Here is a 15,756-nt window from a genome sequence, read left to right as displayed (position 1 = left end):
TCAAAGAGTTGATTTTACAGTAGGCTTTGATTTTTGAAGATTTTGAAATACGTATTTTTTCCTTCTTTAAAAAACTTAGATCTGATTTCTGCTAACATCATTGAGGTGTTATGTTTACATTCTGCTTTACAAAGTGCTTTCTCTTATTTCATGCTGTCATGTTAATATTATAAGTTTAATTATTTGTTCTGACTTAAGAAAAAAGTTTCAATTCATAGAGCTTTCTGAAACAAGCAACTCATAGGGACAGACGATGTCTATATATAATTCTGGCAATTTCTTTCCTTGAAAGCTAAGGCTTTGTATATTTAGTTAGATTTATTCAGAAACATGTTAGATAGATTAAGTGCATTGAATCTTTTGAATAACAGGACACCTAACATCAGTTCTTACTTATAATCTTATTTTGTTTTTTAACAGCTTTATTGTGATCTAATTTATATATCATAAAATTAACCCTTTTAAAGTATACAAGTTAGTGGTATGTATTCACAGAGTTGCACAGCTGTCATTACTGTCTAACTTGAGAACATACTCATTACCCCAGGAAGAAACTCCTTACCTGTATCAGTCTGCTCAGGCTGCTATAACAAAATACCATAGAATGCGTAGCTGACACAGTAGAAATTTATTTCTCAGAGTTGTAGAGGCTAGAAGTCAAAGATCAGGGTGCCAGTGGGTTGGTTTCTCATGAGGCATCTCTCTCTGGCTTGCAGATGGCTGCTGCTTGCTGCATTCTCACATGACTTTTCTTCTGTGTGTGCACAGAGAGAGAGAGGTCTCTGGTATCTCTTCCTCTTCTTATAAGGATACCAGTTCCATGGAATTAGTGCCCCACTCTTAGGACCTCATTTAACCTTAATAAGCCCTAAAGGGCTTATTTCCAATTACAGTCACATTGGGGGTTAGGGCTTTAACATATGAATTTTGGGGGATGATACATTTCATACCATAACAATACCTGTTAGTAATCACTCCCTGTTCTCTCTTTTCCTCAGCACCTGACAATCACTAATTTTCTTTTTGTCTCTATGAGCTTACCCATTCTGATTATTTCATGTAAGTGGAATTATATGTGGCCATTTGTGTCTGGTTTCTTCATACAGCATAATGTTTTCAACGTTCATCTGTGTTATAGCATATATGAGTGGGTTTTTTTTTTGTTTTTTTTTTTTTGAGACGGAGTCTCACTCTGTTGCCCATGTTGCCCAGGCTGGAGTGCAGTGGTGCGATCTCGGCTTACTGCAACCTCCGCCTCCCGGGTTCAAGCGATTCTCCTGCCTCAGCCCCCTGAGTAGCTGGGATTACAGGTGCATGTCACCACGCCTGGCTAATTTTTTGTATTTTTAGTAGAGATGAGGTTTCACCACGTTGGCCAGGATGGTCTCGATCTCCTGACCTCGTGTTCTGCCTGCCTCAGCCTCCCAAAGTGCTGGGATTACAGGTGTGAGCCACCACGCCTGGCCGAGTAGTTTATTTTTTTGTATGACTGAACAATATTCCACTGTGTGGATACACCACTTTTTGTTAATCCATTTATCAGTCAGTGAGCATTTGGGTTGTTTCTACTTTAAAAAGAAAAATAGCTTTATTGAGGTATAATTCACGTATTATGTGGTTCACTCAGTGTATATTCAGTGTACAGTTCACCAGTGAATTCACCCAGTTCACCAAGCATACAATTCAGTGGATTTCAGTATATTCTTAGATTTGTGCAACTATTATTGCAATAAATTTTAGAGTTCTTTCATCATCCCAAAAAGAAATCTCATATTTGTTAATAGTAAGTGCCTCTTTTCCTCAACTCCTCCATCCGTAGGCAACCACTGTCCTACTTTCTGTCTCTACAGATTTGCTTATTCTGATTATTTCCTATAAATGGAATCATGCAATATGTAGTCCTTTTTGTTTTTTTTTTTTAAACTTAGTTTTCCTAGTGTTTTTAAGGCTTGTGCTGTAACATGTGTCAGTACTACCATTTCTTTTTCATTGCTGAGTGATATTCCATTGATGCATATGCCACATTCTATTTATCTATTAATCAGTAATGATTGCTTCCACTTTTTGGCTAAGTTGATAATTTGTATATAGGTTTTTGTGGGACACGTGTTTTCATTTCTCTTGGGTATATACCTAGGATAGGAATTATGGTTAGTATAGTAACTCCATGTTTAACTTTTGGAGGAATTATCCAGACTGTTTTCCAAAGCAGCTGCACCATTTTACATTACCACTAGCAAGTTAGGATGATTCTAATTTCTCCACGTTTTCACCAATATTTGTTATTATCTGTTTTTTTTATCATAACCATTCTAGTGGGTGTAAAGTGGTGTGTCATTGTAGCTTTACTTATGATCTTCTTGATTAATAAAAGTTACAAGTTTATTTCTCTCAGAGAAATAAAATATAGAATGATTTTTTTGTACAACTATTTAACTTTTGTTTGTCTCTCATTAAAAATTCTAAAGTAATAATTATATACATCTGATTTGTCTATGATAAGAAAAGTCCAGGTTTAAAGTGAGGAAGAACTTGAGGTCACAGAAGTTCAGAAACAGTCAGAAATGATAGCTTTACTTTAGCTAACTATAGAAACTGATATATTTTTGAAAATCATTTCTCTTACATTTTGTTCCCTAAGAACAGCCTTCCTTTATCCTGGATGAGAACATTATTTCTACTATTAAGAAGACTATTTGTCAGTAACATAGTGATTTATACATTCAGGGGAATATCTTCTAGGCATGGTCAAGTTGATATGAATTTAGCCAAGAAATGCTAAGAAATCATAATTTCCCAGGAGTAAGTGTTCTGTAGCTAATTTTACATTAGGGCTGTTGCTCATCCTGGTTTTAATGGGCTACAAGGGAAAGAGCTTGGCATGCAAGGAGGATGGAAATGCTCCTGCATAAATGCCTAACACCAGATTTCATGAGAGTAATATTAGAAATAGTAGTGATATTTGTTTGCTGCAACTTCGGCTCTGGCAGGGAAAAGTCAGACAGGAAACAGGAAAAAATAAAAAGAGAAAGCTCTTGAGAATTCCAGGTCATAAGCTTACCTACTATATGTGTGGCTCAAAAAATTCCAAGGCAAAAGTTTAGTTTAAAGTGGTTCTAGATTGCAGTGGCCCTAGGTACCTGGCAGAAGCATACATCAATTAATTGTTTTTAGAGGAATTCACTTTAAAAATATAGGCCTTAAAATATTTCTACAGGTAAAGTTTCAGCTCCAGTCGTAAATCAACAAACATGGCAAAACAAACTGCAGACCTGAAGAGGACTACCAATCAGATTTAGAATATAAGTACTTTTAATATATTTAAGTAAATAATTATTTTAAAATATTATAAAGGAACAAGAGACTCTCAGAATTGACCAGGAAGATTTTTAAAAGGATTCATTTGATCTTTTTCAAGATTTTATAATTAAAATTATAAATCCATTTAGATGGGCTCAACGTAGATTAGATAAAACTGAAGACTGAATAAGTGAACTTGATGATAAAACTGAACAAATTTATACAAAATGTACACAAAGATGTAAATAGATGGAAAATAAAGTGATATCAACAAAAAGTCTAATTTGAATTCTAGAATGGAAATAACTTAGGGAAGAAGAAAACAATTATTGAAGAGATAATGGCTGACAATTGTTCAGAATTTATGAAACATAGTAGTAACTCTCAATTCTGGATGTCTAGTAGGATCTAGGAAGAATAAATAAAAAGAAATTCATATCCAGACTAAACATAGTAAAAATGGAGAATACAAAACCAAGAAACTGTATTAAAAGCGGCCAGAGAGAAAAAGAGATCCTATGCAAAGAAATTACAATTAGCCTAACAGCTGATTTATCACAGCAGCAATGGAAGCCAGAAGACATTGAGTGTTATCTTCAGTGTTGTTAAGAGAAAATAATTGTTGACCACAAACTTCATACCCAGTAAAATTACCTTTCAACAAACACATTCTTGAAGCAGTTAGTTTTTGCTGCACTGTAAACCACCTTAAGATGTAATGTTTTAAAAAAACAAATGTTCAGTATTTCTCATAATTCTGTGGGTTATCTGGGTAGTTCTTGTAGTCTGGGCCAATTTGGTTGGGACTGGATGATCTATAAAGGAGTTGTGCATGTCTGGTAGTTAGCAGGCAGGTTGGTCTAGGAGTCTCTCTTTTATATATTTGGCAGTTGGCTTAATGTCAACTGGGAAAGTAGCTATGCTTTTCCCATTGTCCAGTGGGCTGACCTGGGCTTGTTCATGTAGTGGTGGAAGGGTTTTCAGAAAAAGGAGAGTGGAAGCTGTAAGACCTCTTGTGGCCTTGGATTAAAACTCTTACAGCATATCATTTATTGATCAAAACAAATCACAAGGGTAGCCTGAATTCAAGGTATGGAGAAATAGACTTTTCTTAATGGGAGGATCTGCAAAGAATTTGCATTCATTTTTTTGAAATCTGCAAATGATGAGGTAAATAACTTTTTATACTGATAAAAATTGTTAGTGTTTTCTACAATACTTTATCACTAAAAATGTAACTTCTAAAGGAATTACTTCAGGAAGAAAGATTTTAGGTAGAAGAATGATGAACAAAGAAATTGAAAAACATAAAGATAAACCTGTGTTTGTGGTAATAGAGTCTAGTTTATGAGGTTAAAATAATTAAGATAGAACAAAATCAATAACACAATGTATAAATTGGGGGTTGATTAGGGTTGAAACATTCTAAGATCTTACTGTTTGGGAGAATAATAAAGATATTGATATTTTAAAACTTAACTATGTACTTTAAAAGTTCTTGAGTAACCATTAAAAAAATAGAAATGTAAATTATAGGCAAAGGAGAAAAACTGGCTTGAAAGTGGAACTATAAGTCAGTCCAAGAGAAAGAAGTCAAGAATGGAAAAACACTTAGAAAAAGTAGAACAGGCCAGGCACGGTGGCTCACGCCTATAATCCCAGCACTTTGGGAGGCCGAGGCGGACAGATCACCTGAGGTCAGGAGTTCAAGCCTGGACAACATGGTAAAACCCATCTCCACTAAAAATACAAAAAATTAGCCGGGCATGTTGGCATGCATCTGTAATCCCAGCTACTCGGGAGGCTGAGGCAGGAGAATCGCTTGAACCCAGGAGGCGGAGGTTTCAGTGAGTAGAGATCACACCATTGCACTCCAGCCTGGGTGACAGAGCAAGACTCCGTCTCAAAAAAAAAAAAAGAAAAAGTAAACAATTAAAAAAAGCTGCTAGAAATGAATCCAAATATAAGTCTTAAGAATAAGTATAAATGGACTAAACTATCCATTTAAGAGACAGATTATCGGATTGCATTAAAAAAAAACCCAGTTACATGTCTTTTATTAAAGAACAGGCAATCCATGTAAAACATAAGCACCCAGAAAGATTGAAAGTAAAAATATATATTACGATATAATGGCAAATATTAACCTAATGAAAGCTGAGGGAACAATATTAACGTCTTACAAAATTGACTTTAAGTCAAAACAGAGGGTCAACACATATTGATAAAATGTTAAAAACTGTACTATAATTGTTTGTAAGCAAATGTGAAAACACACCCAATTTAGCCTTTCCCAGGTGGCTGCCAAAGTTGGGAGGGGGAAGGCCCTGGTGCATGAGGCTGAGGCCATCTCCGGGTTGCCCAGCGGCCATTGTGGCCAAGCAGGTACTGCTGGGCTGGAAGGTGGTGATCATGTGTTGCGAGGGCATCCACATTTCTGGCAATTTCTACAGAAACAAGTTAAAGTACCTGGCCTTCCTCTGCAAGTAGATGAACACCAATCCTTTCTGAGGACCCTACCATTTCCAAGCCCCCAGCCACCTCTTTTGGTGGACCATGTGAAGCATGCTGCCCCACAAGACCAAGTGAGGCCAGGCTGCTTTGGACCACCTCAAGATGTTTGATGGGATCCCACTCCCCTATGACAAAAAGTGGACTGTGGTTCCTGCTGCCCTCAAGGTTGTGTGCCTGAAGCCTGTGAGAAAGTTTGCCTACCTGGGGCTCCTGGCTCATGGTGTTGGCTGGAAGTACCAGGCAGTGACAGCCACCATGGAGAAGAAGAGAAAGAAGAAAGCTAAGATCCACTACTGGAAGAAAAGACAGCTCATGAGTCTATAGAAACAGGCCAAAAGAACATGGAGAAGAAAACTGACAAATACATAGAGGTCCTCAAGAGCCATGGACTCCTGGTCTGAGTCCAATAAAGACTGTTTACGCCTCATGCTTGGCCTGGCCTGCCCTTCTTTCACTGCTGCCCTGGGATGTGGGGGATCCAGGAGGGGCAGTCCAGGTGCCACAGGCAGCCTGGGATGTAGGAAGCTGGGGGCAAGGAACAGACCTTAGTCACTGCCTTTCTATAAGGTTACTTTAAGCCACTCTAAGAATTGTGCAGACATAATTTGTCTATGACCTACTTGTTCATGAAAGAATTTTAGAAGATCAGTAGTAGGAACAACCAGCTACTTTGGTTTCAGTAGTAGTAGCACAAGGGAGCTGGAACACTATTTGGAGGGGAACTCTACCTTGTGAATAGGGCATCTGTTTTAACTTCCCACCTGGTCATATGCTATACTCTGTAGCTGCTAGAATGTGAAACAACGCATGGGGGACAGCATGAGTTTGCTGTTGTACAAAGGGTATTTATAGACACATAGACTGGGAACATGTGCAACCAAGAGGTTATAGGCGTTGCCCTTGCTCCTTCCCTGTATTTTGTGATCAGAATCAAATAAATCACTTTGAAAGGGAACAAATACACACACACACACTTAATTTTTTCTTTCTTTTTTTTGAGACGGGGTCTTGCTTTGTTGCCAGGCTGGAGTGCAATGGCAGAATCTCGGCTCACTGCAACCTCCGCCTCCCGGGTTCAAGTGATTCTCCTGCCTCAGCCTCCCTAGTAGCTGGGACTACAGGCGCCTGCCACCATGCCTGGCTAATTTTTTGTATTTTTAGTAGAGACGGGGTTTCCCCATGTTGGCCATGTTGGCCAGGATGGTCTCGGTCTCTTGATCTCGTGATCCACCTGCCTCGGCCTCCCAAAGTGCTGGGATTACAGGAGTGAGCCACCGTGCCCAGCCCACACACTTAATTTTCAAAAGACCTAACAAATAAGCCACATCTTATTAGTAATGTCTTATGGTAGGCCTTTGGTGATTAAAAAATGTTTTTTTCTTTCATCGTTGTAAGTATTCTCAACATTTTAAATAAGTGAGTATGTAGAGTGGTACATTTATAGTGAATAAAAAATACCTGTTTTGCAGCATAATAGCCATTGAGTATTGCTCAGCAAGTAGCATTTCTTGAAACATGCCTATGTTTGATAGTATAAAAATAATGTGGCATTCATTTTTTTTGCAGTTGCTCAAATTGTGTACTGAATCCATGAGGAATATACTTAAAAAAAAAAAAGAAAAAACTCTACATATACATTTTTGGCAGTTTAAATTCTTGTCTACTTAAAGTAGAGCTCACTGGATTTGTGTTGGTTTCTTCAGTTTATTTTCTCCAGAGTTCCATCCTTTGTTCATGATAGTAATAATATGGATCTTTAAATGCGGTTTAAAAATATTATAAAGTTATTGGCCGGGCCCGGTGGCTCACGCCTGTAATCCCAGCACTTTGGGAGGCCGAGGCAGGTGGATCACCAGGTCAGGAGATCAAGACCATCCTGGCTAACACAGTGAACCCTCTACTAAAAATACAAAAAATTGGCTGGGTGTGGTGGCATGCGCCTGTAATCCCAGCTACTCGGGAGGCTGAGGCAGGAGAATGGCGTGAACCCAGGAGGTGGAGCTTGCAGTGAGCCGAGATCGAGCCACTGCACTCCAGCCTGGGCGACAGAGCGAGACTCCATCTCAAAAAAAAAAAAAAAAAAAAAAAAAAGAGTATTACAAAGTTTGCACTAAGTTACACATTGGGATACTAATTTTCTTTCTTTTAAAAAATTAGAAATTGGATCTTGCTGTGTTTCCTAGGCTGGTCTTGAACTCCTGGCCTCAAGCGATCCTCCCACCTTGGCCTCTAATTTTCTGAATAAGTAAATTAGCATTTCACTTTGATTTGCTTTTGTTTATTTTTAGCTGAATCTATAATTTATATGAAAATACAAAGGGCCAAAAGAGGCAGGACAGTTTTGAAGAACTTTATTTAAAAAAACCCAACCAGATATCAAGACTAGTATGAAACTATGTAATTAAGATGGTATAGTATTGGTACATGATTAGACAACTAGAGCACTGGAGTAGAGGAAAGAGCTAGAAAAGTCTGTACTTGATATATTCCCACTTTATATACAGTAGTACTCTACAAACATGTAAATATTTTGCCAAATGAATGCTGTTAATATTATGTAAAATTATTTCATTAAACATTTATTACTTCAACTAAAAAAAAAGAGCTAAAAAAGGACCTACATGTTTATGCATTTTTGATTTGTAATAACAGTGGACGTTTTTTATAGTATGGAAAGGGTAATCCTTTCAATAAATTGGCAGGACAGTTGGATATCTGTTTCTCCCCCCTGCTTTCCTCTCTTTGTGTCTATCTGTCTTGTCTATGTATGTGTTTCTCATATATATATATAATTTGTATCATGGGAGGCAGTGGTCAAGTTTCCTATTTTCATATCTATATATATATATTCATGAAAATATATATTCATGAAAAAATATATATATTCATGAAAATATATATTCATGAAAAAATATATATTCATGAAAATATATATTCATGAAAATATATATTCATGAAAAAATATATATATTCATGAAAATATATATTCATATATATAGATATGAAAATAGGAAACTTGACCACTGCCTCCCATGATACACAAAATTTTTTTTACAGATAGAGAGTAGACATAAATGTGAAGGACAAAATGGTAAAGTTTCCAGAAGATAATGTAGGGATATCTTTATGATCTTATAGAAAGAAAAATATTTCTTTGACATGACACAGAAAGCACTACCCCTAGAAGAAAACATTGACACATTTTACTTCATTAAAATGGACAACTTTCGTTCATCGAAAGGCGCAAGAGAAGATAAATCATAGAGAAGGAGAAGGTATTTCCAACACATATACTTGGCAGTGTGCTCATTTCTAGAATGCATAAAGAACAACAAATTCATGAGGAAAGAGTCAAACAATAAATAGAAAAATGGGCCAACCGAAAATATCCCAATGGTCAGTGAATAGATGAAAAGATTCCCATTAAAAATCCAGTGGGATACTGCTTATTTACTGGATTGGCCAAAATAAATGGACCGACAGTATCAAAATGATGCAGAGTAGGTTTTGTAGAGGTTGACACGTGGACAGGATCACCAAGATCTCTTTTCATTTGACTTGTAGTTGGGTTTTACTAAGGGATGTATCAGCAGGAAGTTAGAGGGTAGAAGAGAGTTCCCTGCTGAGTCACTTAGATCTGTTGCCTCTTTCTTTCCAAGGCCAGTTCCTGTGAAGGACCTTCGGTATAGCTATCTTTTCTAATTTTTGGTTATTACTTCCATGTTCTCTTTTAGGTCTATGGTTGGTAATGACTTGCTTTTGCTAGCCCCAGGGAATGGCACTCTGTAGTTGTTTCCTCAAGATCCTGTCCAAATCCTTGTAAATGTCCCTTTATTAAAGTCTCACCCTAATGTAAATATGTTGTGTATTTTCTACAAGGTCCTCGATTCTCTTTTAATACCATGCAATGTGGAGCAGGGTTATTACAATGTCAGCACTATTGACTTTTTTGTCTAGATGGTTCTTTGTTGTCAGGGACTGTCCTGTACAGCGTAGGATGTTCAGTCATATCTCTGACTTCTAACTGCTAAGTGACAGTAATACTCCTGTAGTTTCGATAACCAAAAATGTATGTAGGTATTGCCAAATGTTCCCTTGGGGGCAAAATTGTCCTTCATTGAGAACCTCTACTCTAGAGTTTTAGTTAACCTCACATTATATATTATTTCATTCAACAAATATTTACTAGATGTTTACTGTATGTAAGTCATTGTTCTTAGAAATGAGTTAGACATCTCAATTAAGTATACAATTTTGCCGTATTCATATAATGGGAATTACTATGCCAGCATTAAAAAAGATGGTAAGAATAATATTTATAACGTGAAAATTTGTCCACAAAATGTTAAGTTAAAAAAGCAGACTACAAATTATGTATACTGTGACACTGTTTAAAAAAATTTGTTTGGCAAGTGCATTTATGCATAAAGTCTAGATGGATTAGGCATTAAACTGTTAATTATGATTCTTTGGATGCTCCTGTTTTCCTCTGAATATTCATGTGTTTTCTAAGATTTTTGCATTGAATATATTATTTATAATCTGAAAAAGAAAACATTAGGCTTTTATTTTTAAAACTTATTTAAAAATGAACATATCTACATATATAAGTGACCATGTTAGAAAGTGATTAGTGCCTCAGAATGGACATAATATGTCATTAGGCTTTTAGGTAGTTTGAGTTTATTTGTAGCTGGATAAATTAATTAGGATTAACTAGAGAAGATAAGGTTGATTTAGACTCTGAACGATATGCATAGAAGAGTGTATTTCAAGAAGAAGTTTTAATATAGGCAAAGGCACAGGTGTAGAAAACTGCCAAGTATTGTGATAATTTAGTTTTGGAATCAATTTCTCTCCAACTGTGTATTTCATGTTTATCTTTAAATTATTTTATCCTTTTTCTTCATAAAGGTTTGAAATTGAAATTGAACCCATTTTTGCAAGTTTGGCTTTATATGATGTCAAGGAAAAGAAAAAGGTAAGATTATATAATTTGACCATAGTTATTTGTCATAATCATTGGTTTCAGAAACCTGTTTGTTTTATAAGATTGATTTTTTTTGAGAACTGTTAAACATAGATCTTTTTAAAAAGGAAATAGAAATTTAACTTATTAGGACTAGTTAAATATTTTCTTATAAATTACTGTAATTGAAAACAGGTTATTGTTTCACTGAAAGAGTGTTAAAAGCAAATAGCAGAAGCAACTTTAAGAAATAGAAAAGACAATATAAGAAAATCACTTTTGGCAAGCAGTACATAACAATAGGAATGACAATGACAGTGAATTTTTATTGACATGATTTTCAAATTCTCACCAGCGCAAGCTCCGCCTCCCAGGTTCACGCCATTTTCCTGTCTCAGCCTCCCGAGTAGCTGGGACTACAGGCGCCCGCCACTACGCCCAGCTAACTTTTTGTATTTTTAGTAGAGATGGGATTTCACCGTGTTAGCCAGGATGATCTCGATCTTCTGACCTCGTGATCCGCCCATCTTGGCCTCCCAAAGTGCTGGGATTACAGGCGTGTCAGAAGGTTATTTTACAACATTTCTTAATTTAATATTCTAAGACTAATATGTAGTAGAAACTTGAAGTGCTGGCCGGGTGCTTGTGGCTCACATCTGTAATTGCAGCACTTTGGCAGGCCAAAGTGGGAGAATTGCTTGAGGCCAGGAGTTCAAGACCGGCCTGGGCAACATAGTGAGACCACCCCCCGCCCGGCCCCGCCATTGCTACTAAAAACAATTTAAAATTAAAAAAAGAAAAAAGGAAACTTGAAGTGCCTTCAGTGGCTTCTGCTGCCAACACAAGACATATTATGGATTTCTTTAATGGAATTCTGCTCTAGCAACTTTTATTTGCTAACTCGAAACTGCTGGGATATTATTCATAAATTTTTTTAAAAGTCACTTTGGAATCCATCATCTCAATGATAATTTCTTTGTATACTTTATTAGAGGTTACTTTTTTTTTTTTTTGAGATTGAGTCTTGCTCTTTTGCCAGGCTGGAGTGTAGTGGCGCGATCTCGGCTCACTGCAGCCTCTACCTCCCAGGTTCAAGCGATTCCCCTGGCTCAGCCTCCCGAGTAGCTGGGACTATAGGCGCCTGCCACCATGCCCGGCTAATTTTTTGTATTTTAGTAGAGATGGGGTTTCCCCATTTTGGCCAGGATGATCTCAATCTCCTGACCTTGATCCCCTCACCTCTAATTAAAAGAATTTGGAATATGGTTGTTTAGAATATGCTTATTATGTTTTCCAAATAGCTTGTTTACTTTTTTTACTTTGATTTAGGTATGTAAAGATTGGTCTCAGTGAAATATAAACTTTACATGAGAGTATAATATCCTACTATCTGTAGATAAATAAGTAATTTTTTTGAGAATTATTTAACATGAATGTTTTTAAAAAGAAAATAGAAATTTAATTTATTAAGATTAAATGTTTTCTTATTATAATTACTGTAATTGAAAACAGATTATTGTTTCATTGAAAGAGTTCTAAAAGTAAGTAGCAGAAGCAGCTTTCTTTTAAGAAATAGACACTGTAAAATGTACATATTTTAAAGTTTAACATACTAATATTTTTTAGATTTCAGAAAACTTTTATTTTGACCTTAATTCTGAGCAGATGAAAGGGTTGTTACGTCCACATGTACCACCTGCTGCCATTACTACCCTGGCAAGATCAGCAATTTTTTCTATCACTTATCCTTCCCAAGATGTTTTTCTTGTAATAAAGGTGAGAATAATGTTAAATATATTTGTTTATTTTGTAGTGTCTGTATACTTGTCTGTCAGTATTATAAACTTTTCAAGGGCAAAGATTTGACCTTTACATATTTTTTTCATCTTGATATTCTTTAACACAATATTGGACATACACAGTAGGTGCTACCTAATTTTTCTTGAACTCTTTATTAGAATTCTCCAGTGAAACAGAACTAATAGGAATTATATATATATCTTAGATCTGTTTTGATTATTGTAGTTTATAAATACATTTTCATATCAGGAAGTATGAGACTTTCAACTTTCTTCTTTTTTCCCTAAATTTGTTTTGATTATTCAGGGTCTCTTGAATTTCCCTATGAATTCTAGGATGGGTTTTTCTATTTCTGCAAAAAAAAAAAAAAAAAACATTGAGATTTTGATAAGGATTGCATTAAGCTTATAGATTGCTTTGGGTAGTTTTGACATCTTAATGATATCAAATCTTTTCAGTCCATGAACACAGGATTTCTTTTCATTTATTTGTGCCTAATTTAACTTCTCTCAGCAATGTTTTATAGTCTTCAGTGTATATAGATCCTTTACTTTCTTGGTTAAGTTTATTTGTAAGTATCTTACTCTTTTTGATGGTATTATAAATGAAATTTTTTTTTAAATTTCCTTTTTCGATTCCTCATTGCTAGTATATAGATTTTGTATCCTGTAACTTTGTTGAATTCATTTATTAGTTCTAACAGTTTTTTGTGTGGCATCTTTAAAGTTTTCTACATAAAAGATCATAGCATTTGCGAGATAATTTTACTTCTTCCTTTCCAATTCAGATGCTTTACGTATTTTTCTTGTTTAGTTCTCAGGCTTGGGCTTCCATTACTATGCCTAATAGGTGAGGCTAATGTGGGCATTCTTGTCTTGTTCATGATGTTAGAGGAAAAGCTTTCAGTCTTTAACCATTGAGTATGATGTTAACTGTGGGCTTTTCATATATGGCCTTTATTATGGTAGTTTCTTTGCATTACTACTTTGTTGAGCGTTTCTGCCATGAAAGAGTACTGAATTTTGTCTAATGTTTGTTCTACAGCAATTGAGATGTCATATATTTTTTTCTGTCATTCTGTTAATGTGTTATATTGATTTTCGTATATTGAACCATCCTTGAATTTCAGGCTTTTAAAAGCTTAATCTTAACTTTTTTTGCCTTTGACAGCTAGAAAAAGTCCTACAGCAAGGAGACATTGGAGAGTGTGCAGAACCATATATGATTTTCAAAGAAGCAGATGCCACCAAGGTAGAATGTTATGCTTCTCATTTCCGCCACATTATTACTATTGTAACTTGGGAGAATACTATTCTCCCAATAGCATTTTATATGCAATAGCAATTAATAGCTTTAATATGCAACAAAGCATATTAAGGAATTTTACTAGTACTATATTTTTTTCTGTTTGCCCACTTCCTATCTTCCTTTCTTCTTTATTTAATTTGTCACCTAGCCTGTGTCATATGTTTCATATGCTGTGGTATTCTTTAAAAATCTCTTCTATCTCAAAACTAACTGACTCTTTACATTTTTTTCTTCATGGAGAGAACTAAATTAATTCAGTTTAACTCCTGAATTATTAAAGGTTTTCTTTATTTATAAAATAGTGATATTGACAGAACTTTTCCTAGCAAAATAGAAGTATTCTTGTCTTCCATCTGACTGCAGATTATTAAGGAATATAGTAAAAATATAATAGTCTTTAAAAAAAGAAAATACAGCCTTTTTTTGCCATCAGATGGCTAATTTCTAGATTTTTTTTTTCTTTTGAGACATAGTCTTGCTCTGTCACCCAAGCTGGAGTCCAGTGGCAGGATCTTGGCCCACTGCAACCTCCGCTTCCTGGGTTCAAGTGATTCTCCTGCCTCAGCCTCCCAAGCAGCTCAAATTACAGGCATGTGCCACCACACCCAGCTAATTTTTGTATTTTTAGTAGAGATGGGGTTTTACCATGTTGGTCAGGCTGGTCTTGAACTCCTGAACTCAAGTGATCCACCTCCCTCAGCCTCCCAAAGTGCTGGGATTACAGATGTGAGCCACCATACCCAGCCTAATTGCTAGAATGTGTATAAACTTATAAAAGCAAAAAAAAAGTTGGATAATTGATAACAAATTTCAGATACTATGGGTTAGCTACAAGAATACAAGTGATCTTTGGATCTTTGAACACAAGATTTAATACTGGAACTTCTGGGAGAAGTATGCTTGAGGAATACTGGGTAAGCAACCCAAACCCAGAAAATGTTTTGCTATTTTCCCAAGATTCATAACAAGAACTGAGCTTTTTCTGTAGATCTGAGCACATGATATTTTTTTCTTGATCCTTGATTACCTGGCTGAACTAATGGTTTAAGTATAGTATTCTGGCTGTCCCCAGGTTGTCATTTTACATTAAATTTGCTCTGTTACATAGTGCTCTTAAATATACTAGCAGCTTATTCTGCTTTTTACTTATATTTACATACACTGATAGAATTAAGTATACTTGAAATATACTTAAAATAAGAACTGTTTTAAGGGTATAGTAGAGATAGTAATAGTGCTATCATTTAGTTATCGTTTCATCTTTTTCTAGCCCTGAGTCCCAAGGTAGGACACTGTCATTAGTGTATACTTCAACATCCCATCTGCAAAGAGTATATGAGAGAGGTAGTATAGGTTTCAGTCTTGAGTGTTGATTGGCTTTTGCAGGCCACCTCTTGATGTTTGTTTCAGGAGTAGCCTAAAAGTTGAGCCAGCCTCAAGATGTCTTCCAGATATGCTTGTACTATTAAATATTTGGACCGTTAGTCTTTTTCCAGCGTTTAGTCTTCTTCTACTTTCCTTTTTACTTTTTACTTTCCTTCTTTTGTTACAACTCTGAGCTTGTTTATCATTGGCCTATTCGTGCTTCCCCACTCTTAACTCATGGTTGTTATATGTTAGGGACTATTTCAAATGTGCTCAGCTACTTCCATCTTTTATAGAGTAACAAAATTTAACAAATTATAACTAGAATATTTTGTAGTTACCAGTTGCTGACTAGACCATGGTTATACTTCCTAAAACAATACTTGGAATACATAATACATGTTTGGTACTTACTCTCTTCTCCCCAGAATAACATAATCACAAATAGAAATTTCAAAGACCTGCTCTGTACGTACATTTGTAGAATGTGTTGAGTTTGT

General features: G+C 35.7%; 1 protein-coding gene and 1 pseudogene across 15 annotated transcripts in view; both read left to right on the top strand.

Annotated features, from left to right (window-relative positions):
• The window catches only part of DOCK7 (dedicator of cytokinesis 7), a 233,661-nt gene that overhangs the window by 41,055 nt on the left and 176,850 nt on the right, over positions 1-15,756 (top strand). For all 15 annotated transcript variants that reach the window (XM_047432967.1, NM_001272001.2, NM_001272000.2 and 12 more), the window contains exons 8-10: positions 10,729-10,795; positions 12,410-12,559; positions 13,754-13,834. In XM_047432967.1, coding sequence (XP_047288923.1) covers positions 10,729-10,795; positions 12,410-12,559; positions 13,754-13,834 — 298 coding nt within the window. The remainder of the gene's footprint in view (positions 1-10,728; positions 10,796-12,409; positions 12,560-13,753; positions 13,835-15,756) is intronic.
• On the top strand, positions 5,589-6,412 carry RPL13AP9 (ribosomal protein L13a pseudogene 9; annotated as a pseudogene).

This window comes from Homo sapiens, chromosome 1, assembly GCF_000001405.40.
Source record: "Homo sapiens chromosome 1, GRCh38.p14 Primary Assembly".
In the NCBI taxonomy this organism is placed as follows: domain Eukaryota; kingdom Metazoa; phylum Chordata; class Mammalia; order Primates; family Hominidae; genus Homo; species Homo sapiens.
The sequence above is the reverse complement of the archived record's forward strand: the minus strand, read 5'-3'. Positions and strand labels throughout refer to the sequence as shown.